Source organism: Homo sapiens, chromosome 1 (assembly GCF_000001405.40).
Source record: "Homo sapiens chromosome 1, GRCh38.p14 Primary Assembly".
Classification (NCBI taxonomy): domain Eukaryota; kingdom Metazoa; phylum Chordata; class Mammalia; order Primates; family Hominidae; genus Homo; species Homo sapiens.
Genome location: NC_000001.11, coordinates 237,597,198 through 237,616,824, shown reverse-complemented (window position 1 = coordinate 237,616,824; position 19,627 = coordinate 237,597,198). Strand labels below are relative to the sequence as shown.

At 38.7% G+C, this 19,627-nt stretch overlaps 1 protein-coding gene across 18 annotated transcripts in view; it reads right to left on the bottom strand.

Annotated features, from left to right (window-relative positions):
- Positions 1–19,627, bottom strand: part of RYR2 (ryanodine receptor 2) — a 791,805-nt gene that overhangs the window by 217,164 nt on the left and 555,014 nt on the right. For all 18 annotated transcript variants that reach the window (XR_007062490.1, XR_002957299.2, XM_006711802.4 and 15 more), the window contains 3 exons: positions 14,714–14,800; positions 5,837–6,063; positions 1,982–2,786 (listed from right to left, as the gene is read on the bottom strand). Coding sequence is in view for 16 of the 18 variants with exons in the window: in XM_006711802.4 (XP_006711865.1) it covers positions 1,982–2,786; positions 5,837–6,063; positions 14,714–14,800 (1,119 nt within the window). In the remaining 2 variants the exon portion in view is untranslated. The remainder of the gene's footprint in view (positions 1–1,981; positions 2,787–5,836; positions 6,064–14,713; positions 14,801–19,627) is intronic.

The window sequence follows — 19,627 nt, the reverse complement described above, 5'->3', positions numbered from 1 at the left end:
TTGTGAGGCCTCCCCAGCCATGTGGAACTGTGAGTCCATTAAACCTTTTCCCTTTATAAATTACTCAGTCTCAGGTATGTCTTTATTAGCAGTGTGAGAACGAACTAATACACTTACCCTCCCAGCCTCCCTTTCAGCCACAGGTGCAATGGCCAATGAAATATATAAGGGAAAGTTTGCTAAGGGTCTTCTGGGAAAGTTATTCCATCAGTGATAAGAGACTAGAGTTCCCTTCTTTCAAAATGAGTGTAACTGGGTGATGACATGATTACTGCAGAAAGAATAAGGTGAGCATTTTAGGAAGAAAACCACAGGCTGAGGATCACAGAGCAGAAAAATATTAAGATCTGGGTTATGGATGAGATCATTGAACTGCTGTACCAATTCTAGAAATCTAAACTTAAGACAATTAAGTGGTGAATGCTCATTCATTCAGTGATTAGCTGGGTCTTTCTCCTACTGAAAACCAAAAGGATTTATAACTGAGTGAGTATGTTGGTAGAAACATTTCTAAGAGAGAATGCTCTGCCAAATTTTTAAAAAAATCTATACACTCAATACCAATTGTGATATAAATACATGACAGTGTCAAAGAGGACCTTAAAACCCTCTGTGTCACCATCTACAATATAACCATTTCTATCAGTGCTGTCTCTGAAGTAGTCACAGTGTCCAACCCCTTTTCTCCATCTCCTTTGCCCCACCCTCCTCTGAGCATGGTCTCCTAGAGTTTGGACCAGCAAGAAAGCCTCCTGACTAACCAGACACTAGATCACACTCTCTTTCCTCCCTTATCGATTTTCCTACCAGCAGCCACACTGGCCTTTTCCTGCCTCAGGACCTTTGCTGGGCTATTTGTTTTGCATGGAAAGCTCCTAGAACACCCTGCCTTGTTCCTTTTTCTTGTAACTGCTGAGCACAACTCTTAAATCTGAACTCAGCTTAAAAGTCAAAATCTCTGAGGGGTCTTCTCCCTCATCTTTCTAACAGTAATCCAGTCTAAATGTTCTTTCTTTTAGTAATCCATTCTTTGCCTTCAGAGTATTTAATGCAATTAGCAATAAGATTTTTTAATGCATAAATGAGTGTATATTTCCTTAGAGGCTGTGAGATTCTGAAAGGCAGGGTTCACTTGTGTTTCCCCTAAGTGCATACCCAGAGTAAGGCTTCAGTCAACGCTGACTAAAGGAACGAGGAGCAAAAAAGCAGGTCAGCGATGCAAACATCCAATTGACTTTAATAAACAGAGGAGACATTAATAAAGGACCCTTTAGACATCTTGAGGAGCATAAAGACAGCCAGTGTGTCTGATTCCTTAAAAACATACTAAGGTGGCTGGGTGCAGTGGCTTACACTTGTAATCCTAGCATTTTGGGAGCATGAGGAGTGAGGAACACTTGAGTCCAGGAGTTTGACACCAGCATGGGCAATAGAGCGAGACCTCATTTCGACTAAAAATAAAAAAAAATTAACTGGGCATGGTGGCATACCTACAGTCCCAGCTGCTGTAGAAGCTGAGGTGGGAGGATGGCTTGAGCCCAGGAGTTCTAGGCTGCAGTGAGCTATGATTGCACCACCACTGCACTCCAGCCTGGGTGACTGAGTGAGACCCTGTCTCAAAAGAACAAAACAAAAGCATACTAGGGGAAAGTAAAACCTTGCTATGTGACAATGGGTGCATCTACTGGTAAACAAGTATTCTAAGGTTGGTAAGAGTGGAAATATGGGTGGAAAGGGGTATTTGATGGCTTGTATTTCAGGTATTCCAATGTAATGAAGGTAAAAAGCATCTGGGAAACAAGAGGAGATGGCTAATGAATAAGAGGGAAAAGAATAGGAAGTTAGTTAATTTTATGAAGAACTACCATTACACAGGAATGCAAAGAAATAAACACACACACAGAGAAAGAAACAAAGGCATGTTCTAATACCTTAATGCTTAGCAATTCTGAAATTCACTCAAGTCTCTTGTTCTGATTACCTGCAATTTAACTGGCTCTGGCAGTTTCATTTGGAGCAGGCCTTCCTTGGGCCGCTTGCCCCCCTTGGCTTCTTCCTCACCAGCTCCTTGCAGCTTTGCATCGTCCACACTGAGCTCTTTCTCCAGCGTGTCACTCTCCTCCTCCGGAGTGGCAGCTTCTTTAAACACACTGGGCTCAATCAACTGCAAGATGTGCTTCAAGTCCTCGTTGTGAAAGATGCCCATGATCAGCAGGGTATAGAAAAGCTTGATGAGAGGTACAAAGAGGAATTCAGTAGTCCCTCCAACTGGGTCCCGGGCATGAAGACTGCCCTCTTTAACAGCTTCTGTCAGCATCTGTATGGTTTTGGACTTGAGGATGTCCAGTGGGAACTCTGGACTGTACTGGTAACATTCATTACTAATGCTTACAAAACTGGGGGAGGAAAACTGCATCCGTGGCCTGAGGGAGGTGCTGAGGCCGATCCCTGGAAGGCCGTGTTTTTTGTTCTCATCAGGGAACAGGGTGATGCTCTTCGTCTCCTCCGTCATGGGGACAATGTACTCGTTGTTCATCATGAGCCTGGCAGTGGCATAGGAGCTCAGGTGGATGTCAATCAGCAGGTCATAGTAGCCAGCACGCAGCAAACCAGGCATGTACTTGTTCTCAATGGCATAGAGGAGCTGAGGTTCATCCACATGGCTGCACAGGGCATGGGCCACCCGGTGGTTCCCAAGAGCACAGACGGCTGAGTAGAGCCGGAGAGTGTGATAGTGAAATTTCAGCAATTCCTCCTGCTCTGTCAACTCTAAGATGTCAACAGATCTGTAGAAGGGAGGAGAGTGGTAGTAAGATTAGAAATGAATGATTTTTTAAAATCTGAATCAGAGGAGAAATCAGTATGCACTGTAAATTTGAAGGAAAAAAGTTATGGGAATAGACACTGCAGGTTGAACATCCCTAATCTGAAATGCTTGGGACCAGAATTGTTTGGATTTGGGACTTTATTCAGACTTTGAAATGTTTGCATTATACTTACCGGTTGAGCATCCTGAATCTGAAAGTCTGAAATGTGAAATACCCCATTTCCTTTGAGCATTATGTTGGTGCTCAAAATGTTTCCGATTTTGGAGCATTTCGAATTTCAGATTTTTGGATTTGGGACACCCAACCTGTGTCTTCTTTTAATTTTCTATGACATGTTTAATGGCTGCATAGTACTTTTAATCATTTCTAGATGTTCTACAAATTTTCTTCTACATAGAATTTGACATTCATCTAGCACCTCCTTCCTCCTCCATTGTATCAAGGATCTGTGGCAATGAGCCGAGATCGCGCCACTGTACTCCAGACTGGGCAATGGTGAGACTCCACCTCAAAACAATAGATAAATAAAGAAACAACAACAAAAAAGTCTCTAGTGGAGAAATTTCTTTCATATGTCATTGTCATTCAATTGTTCATCAAATATCACTGAGTGCCTATTATGTATTAGCACTGCGCACTGATGATACAATGGTGAATAATATAGACATGATTCCTGCCCCCAGGGAGCTTATATTCAATTGAGGGAGTAAACCACCCCCGCTGACCAAAATGGAGTAAATTAAATTATAAACTGTGACATGTGTTAAGGAGAAACAAAGTACACACTGACATAAATCTACCACCATTGCACACTTTAAAATATTAATGATTTGTCATGTTATTGGGGCATCAGATTCTTCTCAACCATGCTAGTTAAGACTTCCTTTTTTGGAATTTGGATTTTGAAACTCATCATATTTTTCTTTGGCTGCTAGGAAGAATGAAATTAATGTGGGCCCCAACTCTACCAATCGGTGTGGTATAAATGACTGTGTGTCACTCTTAGCCTCAGTTTTATTTTCCTATCCATATATTTTCTATGGCCTGATGCCAGTGACACATTTTTATACATTCATGTTCCATATCATTTGGAAAACTGCCTCAAATCCTTTATGATCTTTAGTGAGAGTTTACATTATCCATTCACATACATACACATCTATCACAGGCAATTAATATAAACTACTGAGACAAGGTGTTATGTTGGTTTTCGATGATAGCATGCCAAAATGTTAAATTATAATGTTAAAATTCCATGCTCAGTAGAGACACAACGTTTTCCTTCATAAACAAGAATTCCTTCCCAAATGTTGTGTTTGTTTTGGTTGTTCGGTATTTTCTTAAAAAACATCATCAGATGAAAAATTATGATAAAACTCTTCTCACAAAAAAAAAGAATACAAAATTAAAATCAAACTGAACCATCTCAAGAGTACATTATGAAAGATATCTAATTACCTCATGTAAAAAATGTAAATACATATGTAATACATAAAAAGAATTAACTAGCCAGATTAATTTTTCTTTGATTTTCTTTTGTTTTAAAATATCTTTGTTGAACTGTAATTTACATGCTATACAATTTACCTACTTAAAATACATAATTTAATAGTTTATGTATATTAATGGAGTTGTGTAACTATAACTATAAGTTGAGTTTAGAACACTTTTATCATCCCAAAAGGAATTTAGTACCCATTAGCAGTCCTGTTCCGCTCCTAGCCCTAGGTAACTACTAATCTACTTTTCGTTTCTAAAGATTTGTCTATTATGGACTTTTCAATTAAATAAAATCCCACACTAGTAGGATTCTTTCACTTAATATACTTCCGTGACTGGTTTCTTTCACTTAATATAATGTCTTCAAAGTTCTTGCATTTTGTAGCATATATCAGTACTTCAATCATTTTTATTGCCAAATAATATTATATGGATATATCACATTTTGTTTATTGACTCATAAGCTGGTGAACATTTGGGGTTCCCTTTCTTTTACTATTGTTCATAATGCTTCTATGAATATTCATGTACAAGTTTTTGTGTGGACATATTTTAATTTCTCTTGGGTATATACGAGGAGTAGAATTGCTAGATCACATGTTAACGCTATAATTTTATTTTTTGAGGAACTGACAAACTGTTTTCCAAAGCATAGGTTAAATTTTAAAGATATTAAAATAAAAAATGCCAAGAACATCTAAAGATATAAAAATGGACCTGGCTTCAATAATTATTTTCAGATTAAAGACTTAAAACATACAAATATGTTTGTGCATTACTTTCATGACTTGTTTTTACTCAGTTTGTGATTCAACATTTCAGTGGCATTTTGGGAGGGAAATCTTGGCCCAAAACTTAGAAACTTAGCTCCTTATTGATAAGAAGGCTGCTTAAATGAAATCTCTGCAATTTAATTGGCTATCATATGGAAAAACAGAAAATCATAAACAAAGCTACTCAAATACCTTTGAGTACTTATTATACTTTATGTTACTATTATTACTGCCTAGAATGCATATAAACTTGTTTCGAAGACACTCCCAGTATTTTCCCAATTTTCTTTCATTAATATCTCTTGGATCAGTTTTTTACATCTATAAAATGAAGGGTTGAACATAGGAATCATAAGTGATTCTTATGATTCCATCTCTAATATCTCACTATTCTCTATTACAGTACTCTGCTAAGTCATAAGTCGGATTGCAGTTGCACTTGTCTGAATTTTTATTCGCCATTGTCATTGTAAGTAACGCAAGAGTGAATGAAGAAACCATCATGTGGCATCTTCAACTACAGAATAATTTTTTTCAGTAACAGAATGGTTGAGAAATAAACTTAAACTTAGAATACGCAGAATAATGACTCCATTGCCTAAAGAATTTAGATCTTTGTAAATTTCATCTTGTTTCTTTAGAACCACCCCTGCCCCGCACCACTACCGGAAGCCCCGGGCAGCAGGCTAATCCCAAGCGTCCCAATCAGAATGTCAGGGATTCACTGGGGCTGACCTGTTTTCCTCAGGGATATGAAGAGACATGAACTGCAGAGGATCCAAACACTGCACCAACCAGCCTTGGCGTTCACTTATTCGAGACACATCTACCTTCAAAAACTGGTTGGGCATTCTGCTCCACAGGACGTGTGACAGGAACTGCACGTGGAGGCGCGGGGGGCACTGCGGCACGGGGTTCTTGTGCTCACTCTTGAATAATCCCGCCGAGAGAGGCATCACATTCTAGCGGATGGGGAGGCAGAAAAAGAATAAATGTAGAACATCCCTTGGGGTTCACAAAGTAATGACTAGAATTCTGCACAGGACAGAGACAGGGAAAGTAAGATAACCCTATGAGTCAAGCAAAGTCAACACAAGAAATCATAGAAATTGGGTTGAAAAGTTTCTGAAAGGACAAACCAGGAAATACATTATGAGAGAGAATACCTACACCTTCCGGGCAGTCAAACAGGTTTCGGGATGTGTCTTTCCCATATACTGAATGGCACAGAGAGAAGGCCAAGCATACCCATATATCCTTTATATTTCTTTACCAGGCTGGGACCTCCGGGAAAGCTGGCAAGTCTTTAGGGACTTTCAGTGCCAAACTTCCTGAATGACAGATATGTCACATCCCCCTGGCTCTCTCTCTCAATATCTGTTCTCTGTCACCCAACTCGTCCTTAAGACACTTCCTCTAGCCAGAAGTATTCCAGATAAAGCTCAACAGATAAACCTGACTACCGAATAAGAAAACAGAATATGTTAGGCATTAACAAACCTACTTATTTCTCCTCCACCTCCAGTATCATCTTCAGCCATCCTTAATTCTTTCTGTCTGGTGTCAAAGAAAGAGAGGTCTCTGCTTTGCCAAAAGTTTCTTCATTTATCTATGATCTTGACAACACCGATGCCTGCCTCTTATGGGACCATAAGAAAACCATTATCTCATATTTCTGCATTATCTTCTATCTCTTCTTCTCCTCTAGAGCCCCCTCAACTGCATGCTGTAGACTACTTCATCCTCAAACTGCTTTCCTATTGCCCTCTAACAATAGGCGGGGAAAAACCAAGTACTGGTTTAAATACTGATGATATGCTAATGAATAAAACTAACAAAACCCCTGCCCTCATATAGCTTCCATTTTTCTCACTGAAAGTATGAAATAAAATCAATAAGTAAATTAAATGAATTAAATGGTATTTTAAAAGAGATGTCATGGGCCTGGGGGTTTGGGGGACAGAAAGCTAGAATGGGGGAACCAGAATCAAGGGCAGCAATTTTAAATGGGGTTGTCAGAATGGGCATCATTGAGAAAGCAACATTTAAAGAAAGACTGGGCTAGGCACCATGGCTCACGCCTGTAATCCCAGCACTTTGGGAGGCCGAGGCAGGTGGATCACTTGAGGTCAGGAGTACAAGACCAGCCTGGCCCACTGCTAAAAATACAAAAATTCGCCTGTAAAAAAAAACAAAAATGGTGGCATGTTCCTGTAGTCCCAAATACTCAGGAGGCTGAGGTGGGAGAATTGCTTGAACCTGGGAGGCGGAGGTTGCAGTGAGCTGAGATCGTGTCACTGCACTCCAGCCTGGGTGACAAGTGAGACTCTGTCAGAAAGAAAGAAAAGGGAAGGGGGGAAGGGGAGAAGGGGGGAGGGAGGGATGGAGGGAGGGAAGCAAGGAGAGAGAAAGAAAAAAAGAGAGAGAGAGAGGTTGTAGTGAGCTGAGATCACATCACTGCACTCTAGCCTGGGTGACAGAGTGAGACTGTCAGTAAGAAAGAAAAGGGATGGGGACAAGGAAGATAGGAGGGCAGGAAGGAAGGGAGGGAGGGAAGGAGAGAGAAAGAGAAAAAGAGAGAGAGAGAGGTTGTAGTGAGCTGAGATCACATCAGTGCACTCTAGCCTGGGTGACAGAGTGAGACTGTCAGCAAGAAAGAAAAGGGACAGGGACAAGGAAGGAAGGAAGGGAGGGAGGGAAGGAGGGAGGGAGAGGGAGAAGAGAAGAAGAGAGAAAGAAGAAAGGAAAAGAAGAGAAGAGAGCAAGCAGTCCAGTATGGATGCATTCAATTTGTGATAGCTATTAGTCGGCCAATGAAAATGTCAGTAGAAGTCAATAGTCAATAGATGACTGAATATATCAGTCAGGCTTCTGAGAAACTACAACTCCTTGTCCAATTTTGTAAAAAAAAAAAAAAAAAAAAAAAACAGGTCAGTCTGAACTTGCTGCCTCCTTTCTCTCATTTCCAATCTTGAATTCACTGTCACATGGCTCCTCTCATCATTTTTTAATATAATAATTGAGACAAGGTCTCCCTCTGTCACCCAGGCTGGAGTGCAGCAGCGCAATCACGGCTCACAGCAGCCTCCATGTCTGCACTCTCAAGTGATCCTCCCACCTCAGCCTCTGGAGGATCTGGGACTAAAGGCGTGCACCACCACATCTGCCTAAAATAATTTTTTATTTTTTGTAGAGATGGGGTCTCACTATGTTGCCCAAGCTGGTTTCAAACTTCTGGGCTCAAGTGATTCCTCCTTCCTCCCAAAGTGCTGGGATTACAAGCATGAGCCACTGAGACCAGCCCCTCTCCCATTGTTTTGCTTAAATTCTTCTGGCAAGGCCACCAAAGCCCTCCTCATTAACAAAAGCCAGGAATTCCTTTACTCCGAGTTGTATGAGTCCATCTACGGCATCCGCTGTTAGCCACTCCTGTTTAGAAAACTCCATCCTCGCTTGGCGTCTACTAAAATGTCTCTTTCAGTTCTTCTCCAACATTCTTGAGAGTTCTGCCCTCAGCCTATCTCATAGGTTCCTCTTTTTTAGTTGATACAACCAGGCTCTCTCCTCAGCCATCTCTTCCCACTCTCTACATCTGCCCTCAAATATTCCATTCACACTCAAAGATGAATTACAACTGATTTCTTGATGATGAAAATTTTAATCTCCAGCATAGCTCTTTTTAGCACAATGGTGTATACATATGTGTATATAGGTATGCATACGTATGTATATTGTATGTAAATTTATTGAGTATATAAATTTGCTGTATACCATGTATAAAGCACTGCTCAAGATGTTTAGTTATATTAACTCCATAAAACGGATACTGTGAACCCCATTTTATAGATGCAGAAACTGAGCTCAAATAATTTAAGAAAGATGTCCAAGGTCACCAAGCCAGCCTAATAAAACTATCTACTCTATTCACTCCAATGTGTGCCTGGAACCTCAACTTTACAATTGCAAAATTAAGTTCAACCTTTTTTCCTGAATTTCGAAAAGCTCTTCTACTTTTTGATTAGCATGGTCAAATTGTCCAAACTAAAATTTTAAATCAATCATTCATTCTCAGTCTCCTTGAGATCCTGAATTCCATTCATCTACAAATTCTATTAGTCCAATTCATTGTTAAATCCTATTCTTTTTTTTATTATACTTTAACTTCTAGGGTACATGTGCACAATGTGCAGGTTTGTTACATATGTATACATGTGCCATGTTGGTGTGCTGCACCCATTAACGCGTCATTTACATTAGGTATATCTCCTAATGCTATCCCTCCCTCCCTCCCCCAACCCCACAACAGGCCCCGGTGTGTGATGTTCCTCTTCCTGTGTCCAAGTGTTTTCATTGTTCAATTCCCACCTGTGAGTAAGAACATGCGGTGTGTGGTTTTTTGTCCTTGTGATAGTTTGCTGAGAATTGTGGTTTCCAGCTTCATCCATGTCCCTACAAAGGACATGAACTCATCATTTTTCGTGGCTGGATAGTATTCCGTGGTGTATATGTGCCACATTTTCTTAATCCAGTCTAACACTGATGGACATTTGGGTTGGTTCCAAGTCTTTGATATTGTAAATAATGCCACAATAAACATACGTGTGCATGTGTCTTTATAACAGCATGATTTATAATCCTTTGGGTATATACCCAGTAATGGGATGGCTAGGTCAAATGGTATTTCTAGTTCTAGATCCTTGAGGAATCGCCACACTGTCTTCCACAATGGTTGAACTAGTTTACAGTCCCACCAACAGTGTGAAAGTGTTCCTATTTCTCCACATCTTCTCCAGCACCTGTTGTTTCCTGTCTTTTTAATGATCACCATTCTAACTGGTGTGAGATGGTATCTCATTGTGGTTTTGATTGCATTTCTCTGATGGCCATTGATGATGAGCATTTTTTCGTGTCTGTTGGCTGCATAAATGACTTCTTTTGAGAAGTGTCTGTTCATATCCTTTGTCCACTTTTTGATGGGGTTGTTTGTTTTTTTCTTGTAAATTTGTTTGAGTTCTTTGTAGATTCTGGATATTAGCCCTTTGTCAGATGAGAAGATTGCAAAAATGCAAAAATTTTCTCCCATTCTGTAGGTTTCCTGTTGACTCTGATGGTAGTTTCTTTTGCTGTGCAGAAGCTCTTTAGTTTAATTAGATCCCATTTGTCAATTTTAGTTTTTGTTGCCATTGCTTTTGGTGTTTTAGACATGAAGTCCTTGCCCACGCCTATGTCCTGAATGGTATTGCCTAGGTTTTCTTCTAGGGTTTTTATGGTTTTAGGTCGAACATTTAAGTCTTTAATCCACCTTGGATGAATTTTTGTATAAGGTGTAAGGAAGGGATCCAGTTTCAGCTTTCTACATATGGCTAGCCAGTTTTCCCAGCACCATTTATTAAATAGGGAATCGTTTCCCCATTTCTTGTTTTTGTCAGGTTTGTCAAAGATCAGATGGTTGTAGATGTGTGGTGTTGTTTCTGAGGGCTCTGTTCTGTTCCATTGGTCTGTATCTCTGTTTTGGTACCAGTACCATGCTGTTTTGGTTACTGTAGCCTTGTAGTATAGTTTGAAGTCAGGTAGCATGATGCCTCCAGCTTTGTTCTTTTGGCTTAGGATTGACTTGGCAATGCAGGCTCTTTTTTGGTTCCATATGAACTTTAAAGTAGTTTTTTCCAATTCTGTGAAGAAAGTCATTGGTAGCTTGATGGGGATGGCATTGAATCTATAAATTACCTTGGGCAGTATGGCCATTTTCATGATATTGATTCTTCCTACCCATGAGCATGGAATGTTCTTCCATTTGTTTGTGTCCTCTTTTATTTCATTGAGCAGTGGTTTGTAGTTCTCCTTGAAGAGGTCCTTCACATCCCTTGTAAGTTGGATTCCTAGGTATTTTATTCTCTTGGAAGCAATTGTGAATGGGAGTTCACTCATGATTTGGCTCTCTGTTTGTCTGTTGTTGGTGTATAAGAATGCTTGTGATTTTTGCACATTGATTTTGTATCCTGAGACTTTGCTGAAGTTGCTTATCAGCTTAAGGAGATTTTGGGCTGAGATGATGGGGTTTTCTAAATATACAATTATGTCATCTGCAAACAGGGACAATTTGACTTCCTCTTTTCCTAATTGAATACCCTTTATTTCTTTTCCTTGCCTGATTGCTCTGGCCAGAACTTTCAACACTATGTTGAATAGGAGTGGGGAGAGAAGGCCACTTGTGCCAGTTTTCAAAGGGAATGCTTCCAGTTTTTGCCCATTCAGTATGATATTGGCTGTGGGTTTGTCATAAATAGCTCTTATTAATTTGAGATACGTCCCATCAATACCTAATTTATTGAGAGTTTTTAGCATGAAGGGCTGTTGAATTTTGTCAAAGGCCTTTTCTGCATCTGTTGAGATAATCATGTGGTTTTTGTCGTTGGTTCTGTTTATATGCTGGATTACGTTTATTAATTTGTGTATGTTGAACCAGCCTTGCATCCCAGGGATGAAGCCCACTTTATCATGGTGGATAAGCTTTTTGATGTGTTGCTGGATTCCGTTTGCCAGTATTTTATTGAGGATTTTTGCATCGATGTTCATCAGAGATATTGGTCTAAAGTTCTTTTTTTTGGTTGTGTCTCTGCCAGGCTTTGGTATCAGGATGATGCTGGCCTCATAAAATGAGTTAGGGAGGATTCCCTCTTTTTCTATTGATTGGAATAGTTTCAGAAGGAATGGTACCAGCTCCTCCTTGTACCTCTGGTAGAATTCGGCTGTGAATCTGTCTGGTCCTGGACTTTTTTTGGTTGGTAGGCTATTAATTATTGCCTCAATGTCAGAGCCTGTTATTGGTCTATTCAGGGATTCAACTTCTTCCTGGTTTAGTCTTGGGAGGGTGTATGTGTCGAGGAATTTATCCATTTCTTCTAGATTTTCTAGTTTATTTGCATAGAGGTGTTTATAGTATTCTCTGATGGTAGTTTGTATTTCTGTGGGATTGATGGTGATATCCCCTTTGTCATTTTTTATTGCATCTATTTGATTCTTCTCTCTTTTCTTCTTTATTAGTCTTGGTAGTGGTCTACCAATTTTGTTGATCTTTTCAAAAAACCAGCTCCTGGATTCATTGATTTTTTGAAGGGTTTTTTGTGTCTCTATCTCCTTCAGTTCTGCTCGGATCTTAGTTATTTCTTGCCTTCCGCTAGCCTTTGAATGTGTTTGCTCTTGCTTCTCTAGTTCTTTGAATTGCGATGTTAGGGTGTCAATTTTAGATCTTTCCTGCTCTCTCTTGTGGGCATTAGTGCTATAAGTTTCCCTCTACACACTGCTTTAAATGTGTCCCAGAGATTCTGGTATGTTGTGTCTTTGTTCTCGTTGGTTTCAAAGAACATCTTTATTTCTGCCTTCATTTTGTTATGTACCCCATAGTCATTCAGGAGCAGGTTGTTCAGTGTCCATGTAGTTGAGTGGTTTTGAGTGAGTTTCTTAATCCTGAGTTCTAGTTTGATTGCACTGTGGTCTGAGAGACAGTTTGTTATAATTTCTGTTCTTTTACATTTGCTGAGGAGTGCTTTACTTCCAACTATGTGGTCAATTTTGGAGTAAGTGCGATGTGGTGATGAGAAGAATGTATATTCTGTTGATTTGGGGTGGAGAGTTCTGTAGATGTCTATTAGGTCCGCTTGGTGCAGAGCTGAGTTCAATTCCTAGATATCCTTGTTAACTTTCTGTCTCGTTGATATGTCTAATGTTGACAGTGGGGTGTTAAAGTCTCCCATTATTATTGTGTGGGAGTCTAAGTCTCTTTGTACGTCTCTAAGGACTTGCTTTATGAATCTGGGTGCTCCTGTATTGGGTGCATATATATTTAGGATAGTTAGCTTTTCTTGTTGAATTGATCCCTTTACCATTATGTAATGGCCTTGTTTGTCTCTTTTGATCTTTGTTGGTTTAAAGTCTGTTTTATCAGAGACTAGGATTGCAATCCCTGCCTTTGTTTTCCATTTGCTTGGTAGATCTTCCTCCATCCCTTTATTTTGAGCATATGTGTGTCTCTGCACATGAGATGGGTCTCCTGAATACAGCACTGATGGGTCTTGACTCTTTATCCAATTTGCCAGTCTGTGTTTTTTAATTGGAGCATTTAGCCCATTTACATTTAAGGTTAATATTGTTATGTGTGAATTTGATCCTGTCATTATGATGTCAGCTGGTTATTTTGCTCATTAGTTGACGCAGTTTCTTCCTAGCATCGATGGTCTTTACAATTTGGCATGTGCATGTGGCCGGGCACTTGGCGCCAGAAGCAAGAGCCCCTTGGGGCCACCTCACGGGGTCAGTGAATAAACAATCAGAGTAGTGGTATTTCACCTCTGGCCTTGCCCCACTCTGTCCCCTTGCTGGGACAGGGGGGCACCAGGGGCCTCCCACTTATTCTACACTTCTCATGGCTCTTCACCGTGCCAGACTAGAGTCAAGCTCAACAGGGTCTTCTTTCCCCGCGGATTCCACCAAGCCCGTTCCCTTGGCTGTGGTTTCGCTGGATAGTAGGTAGGGACAGTGGGAATCTCGTTCATCCATTCATGAACGTCACTAATTAGATGACTAGGCATTTGGCTACCTTAAGAGAGTCATAGTTACTCCCGCCGTTTACCCGTCCTTCATTGAATTTCTTCACTTTGACATTCAGAGCACTGGGCAGAAATCACATCATGTCATCACCCACCACGGGCCTTCGCGTATTCATTTCTTCTCTAGAATGTTTTCACATTTATCATTTTTCATTCTGACTTCCATGGCTCTAATCACTGTCTTCCATGTAGACAGTATCAAATTATTGACACCTCATTGCTACTGATTATTCTCATTCTTGCCCACCTCCACATTAATAACAACATATTTTTCCAAAACAAGTTTCATTATGCTCAATCCCCTTCTTCAAATTTCCAATGGATTTCCCTTGTCTATGTAATAGATGCTAACCTTTTCACATGGCACACAAGACCTTTTCAACTTGGACTTGTTCTACCTTTTATCCATCTTAATCTCCAGCCACATTCTGGAAGGCATCCTTTGTTACGGTTACACTGAATTCCTTAACCTTCAGCATGTTCACTCTTACATATTTTTGCTTCTTCTCATCCTCTGCCCAGAATGACCTCTCCTAATAAACGTACCCCAAGAGCTTCTATTTTACAGTTAGTAATCAAACTAAATGTTACCTCTTCTTTGAGCTTTAGCTGATCCAACCCATCCAACTGAGTTGTTCTTTCATTTATGTTACTGGAGTATTCCATACATACCACTATTGTAGGTGGCATGGTTTCAGATCTTTAAGTCCATTCATTAGCTCACCTATCAGTTCAATGACTGCTGCAATGTGTGTAATCTCGGCATTTTTTTTTCTATAGGCCTTTTATTGAATAATATACATATGATAACTAAAGAGAAACACTTTTTAATTATTTTGTTACCCTTGTGACCTGAAAGAGATTTTCAAGCATGGCTATCTTTTCTTGAAAGAATGATTTATTTGATTCATATCAGTACTAATATACTGAATTCATTTCAGAATAAATCAATGCTATATCCTAATAGAAAAAATACAAATACAATACCAGGAATAAGTTTTATTACCTTTATTCTTCCCAACTCAAACTGGAAAACATTGGGACTTGTAGCTTGTGCAAAAACCGCAGGAAATAATTTTGTACTCGGTTCCACCTGAAATACATTTAATGAATTTAATAATGTTAGTAATGAAACAAGACAAGGGAAAAAGTTTTTCTTTATAACAACAAAGGAATACTTTACAGAAGGAGCCCAGAGATTTTCCTTTCTTGCATATCGATTGATGTGCTCCTTCAAGAATTAGAGTATTTCATTACTATGTGAACACTGCTTGGGGAACATACTCTGTTTACTCTGAAGGGCTTAAGGCATTGTCATTATTTAACAGAAGTAAACATACATAATTAATCTAACTTTTTCCATTTTCTTTTAATTTCTAATTTACTGTTTTTTAATTGACACATTGTAGATATTTAATGGGGTGTAACATGATGTTTTGATACTTGCATACATTGTGTAATGATCAAATCAGGGTAATTAGCATGTCTATCACTTTGAACATTTTTCATTTCTTTGTGGTGAGAACATACAAAATCCTCTCTTCTAGCTATTTTGAGATATACAATACCTGATGGTTGACTATAGTCACCCTACTGTCCAATAGGACACCAGCGCTTATTCTTCCTTTCTAATGTTAACTCTATACCCATTGGGTATCTGCTCCCTCTCCCCCACTTTCACCTACCCTTCCCAGTCTCTGATAACCACTATTCTATTCACTACTTCCATGACATTAACTTTTTTCGATTCTACATATGAGTGGGCAATGCAGTATTTTTCTTTCTATGTCTGGCTTATTTCACTAAACACAATATCCTCCAGGCTCACCCATATTGGTGCGAATGACAGGTTCTCATTTTTTTTATGACCAAATAGTATTCCACTGTGTATATATACCACATTTTCTTCACTTACTAATCCATTGATGGGCACTTAGGCTGATTCCCTATCTTGGCTATTGTGAGTAGTGCTGTGATAATTATAGAAGTGCAGATATTCCTTCCACACACTGATTTCCTTTCCTTGGGATATATACCCAGGAATTCTGGATCATATGGTAGTACTATTCTTAATTTGTTGAGGAACCTCCATACTGTTTTTCATAATGGGTATATTCATTTACATTCCCACCAACAGTGTATGGGTTTCCCTCTTCCTCAACATCCTTGCCAATGCTTATTATCTTTTGTCTTTTTGATAATAGCCATTTTAACTGGAATAAGGTAATATTGTGGTTTTGATTTGCACTTTGCTGATGATTAGTGATGTTGAGCATGTTTTCATATGTCTGTTGGCCATTTGTATGCCTTCTTTTGAGAAATGTTTATTAAGGTCTTTTGCCCCCTTTTAAATCAGATTGTTTTTACTATTGTTGTTTGTGTTCCTTATATATTCTGGATATTGATCCCTTATCAGATGTATAGTTTACAAATATTTTGTCCCATTCTGTAGATTGTCTTTTCACTCTGTTAATTGTTTCCTTGGCTGTGCAGAGGATTTTTAGTTTGATATAATCCCACTTGTCTATTTTTGCTTTTGTTGCCTGTGCTTTTGAGGTCTCGTCCAAAAAATCCTTACCCAGTCCAATGTCATGAAGTGTTTCCCCCATGTTTTCTTCCAGTACTTTCATAGTTTAAGGTCCTACATTAAGTCTTTAATCCACTTTGAGTTGATTTTTGTATATGGTGAAAAATAGGGGTCCAATTTCATTCTTCTGCATGTGGATATTCAATTTTCCCTGTACCATTTATTGAAGAAACTGTCCTTTCCCCAATGTGTGTTCTTGGCACCTTTGTTGAAAATTAGTTGGATATGGATAGGTGTTTTTTTTTCTGGGTTCTCTGTTCTGTTTTATTGGTCTATATGTCTGTTTTGGTTACCATAGCTTTGTAGTATAGTTTCAAGTCAGGTAGTGTTTTGGTTACTATGGCTTTGTGTATTTTAAACTCAGTTAGTGTGATGTTTCCAGCTTTATTCTTTTTGCTCAAGATTGCTTTGGCTGCTTGGGGTCTTTTGTGATTTCATAAGAAATTTAGAATTATTTTTTCTATTTCTATAATAGAATAATAATGTCATTGGTATTTTGATAGGGACTTCACTGAATCTGTAATTACTTTTTGTACTATGGACATTTTAATAATATTAATTCTTCCAATCCATCCAATCCAACAGCATGAGATATCTTTCCATTTATTTCTGTCCTCTTAAATTTATTTCACCAATGTTTTATAGATTGCAGTGTAGAGATCTTACACCTCCTTTGTTAAATGTATTCCTAGATAACTGATTTTTTTTTTTTTTTTTTTTTTGAGATGGAGTCTCACTCTGTCACCCAGGCTGGAGCTCAGCTCACTGCAACCTCTGCCTCCTGGGTTCAAGTGATTCTCCTGCCTCAGCCTCCCCAGTAGGTGGGATTACAGGTGCCTGCCACCATGCCCGGCTAATTTTTTTGTATTTTTAGTAGAGACGAGGTTTCACCATTTTGGCCAGGCTGGTCTAGAACTCCTGACCTCAGATGATCCACCCGCCTCGGCCTCCCAAAGTGCTGGGATTACAGGCATGAGTCACTGCGCCCAGCCGATAACTGATTTTTAAAGCTATTGTAACTGAGATTGTATCTTGATTTTTTTTCTCAGAGCATTCACTACTAGTGCAAAGAAATACTGATTTTTGTATGCTGATTTTGTATCCTGCAAATTTACTGAATGTATTAGTTTTAACAGTTTTTTAGTAAACTTTTAAAGGTATTTTTATATATAGGATCATGTCATCTACAAACTGAGACAATTTGATGACTTCTTTTCCAATTTGGATGCCTTTTATTTCTTTTTCTTGCCAAATTCTCTGGCTAGCACTTCTAGTATTATGTTGAACAGAAGTGGTGAAAGTGGGCATCTTTGTCTTGTTCCAGACCTTAGAAAAAAAAGCTTTCAACTTTTCCCCCATTTAGTCCTGGGCTTTTCTTTGATAGAGACTTTTCATTATTGATACAATTTCCTCACTCACTATTAATCTGCTCAGATTTTCTATTTCTTCATAAGTCAGTCTTGGTAGGTTGTATACATCTAGGAATTTATCCATTTCTTCTAGGTTATCCAATTTGTTGGCATACAATTTTTCATAATATTTTCTCATTATCCTTTGTATTTCTGTGGTATAGGTTGTAATGTCTTCTTTTCAATGTGGATTTTATTTATTTGAGTCATCTCTTTCTTTGTCTAGCTAAAGGTTTACTGATTTTGTCTTTTCAAAAAACCAACTCTTCGTATCATTGATCTTTTGTATTGTTTAGTCTCTGTTTCGTTATTGTTCCAATTTTTATTATTTATTTACTTCTATTAATTTGGGGTTTAGTTTGTTCTTGTATTTGTGGTTTTTGGAGGTGCAATATTAGGTGGTTTATTTTTTACTTCTTAAATGTAGGCATTTAATACTGTAAACTTCCCTCTTAGAACTGCCTCTGCTGTATCCCATAGCTTTTGGTATGTTGTGTCGCCATTTTTGTTTGTCTCAAGAAAATTTTTAATTTCTTTTTTAACATCTTCATTTACCCACTGGTTATTCAGGGGTATGTTGTTTAATGTCTATGTATTCGTAAAGTTTCCTCAGTTCCTCTCAGTATTGATTTCTAGTTTTATACTAGTGTGATCAGAAAATATATACGATATCATCTTAAATTTTTAAAGATTTATTTTGTGGCCTAACATATGATCTGTCCTGGAGAATGCCACATGAGCAGTTGAGAATAATGTGTATTCTTCAGCTATACATCTGTTGCACAGAATGTTCTGTAAATGTCTAGTATGTCCCTTTGGTCTAGAGTGCAGTTTAAATCTGCTGTTTCCTTGCTGAATTTCTGTCTGGATTATCTGCTGTTGTTGAAAGTGGGGTGTTGAACTTCCCTACTATTGTTGCATTGAAGCCTATCTCTCCCTTTAGATAAAACATACTTCATATATTTGGATGCTCCAGTGTTGAATGCATATAAATTCACAATTGTTATATCTTCTTAACTGATCCTTTTCTATTAATGACCTTCTTTGACTCTTTTTTACATTTTTTGAATTAAGTCTATTTTATCTAAGTGTGGCTACTTCTGCTCACTCTCAGTTTCCATTTGCATTGAAAATCTTTTTCCATCCCTTCACTTTCAGGCTATGTCTGTCCTTAAAGGTGAAGTGAATCTCTAGTGGGCAGCATATAGTTGAGTCTTGCTTTTTATCCATGCAGCCACTCTATATATTTTAACTAAGCAATTTAATTCATTTACATTCAAGGTTATTATTGATAGGTAAGGAATTATTCCTAATATTTTGTTGGTTGTTTTCTAGATCCTTCATTTCTTTCTTGCTCTCTTGCTTACCTTTGTGGTTTGATACCTTTTTGTGGTGCTAAGCTTTGATACCTTTCCCTTTCTCATTAGTGTGACTGCTGCAATTTTTTCTTTGTGGTTACTATGAAACTAAGACAAACAATATTGTAGTTATAATAGACCATCTTAAGCTGATACATTTGGTTGCATAAAAATACTCTGGACTGGCCAGGCATGGTGGCTCATGTCTGTAATCCCAGCACTTTGGGAGGCCGAGGTGAGCGGATCACAAGGTCAGGAGATCGAGACCATCCTGGCCAACATCGTGAAACCCCATCTCTATTAAAAATACAAAAATTACCTGGGTGTGGTGGTGCATGCCTATAATCCCAGCTACTCAGGAGGCTGAGGCATGAGAATTGCTTGAACCCAGAAGGCAGAGGTTGCAGTGAGCCAAGATCCCACCATTACCTGGCAACAGAGCAAGACTCTGTCTCAAAAAAAAAAAAAATACTCTGGACTTTTACCCTCCCCTCACAATTTATATTTCTGATGCCTTAATTTACATCTCTCTATATTGTATGTTCCTTAACAACTACTTGTAGCTG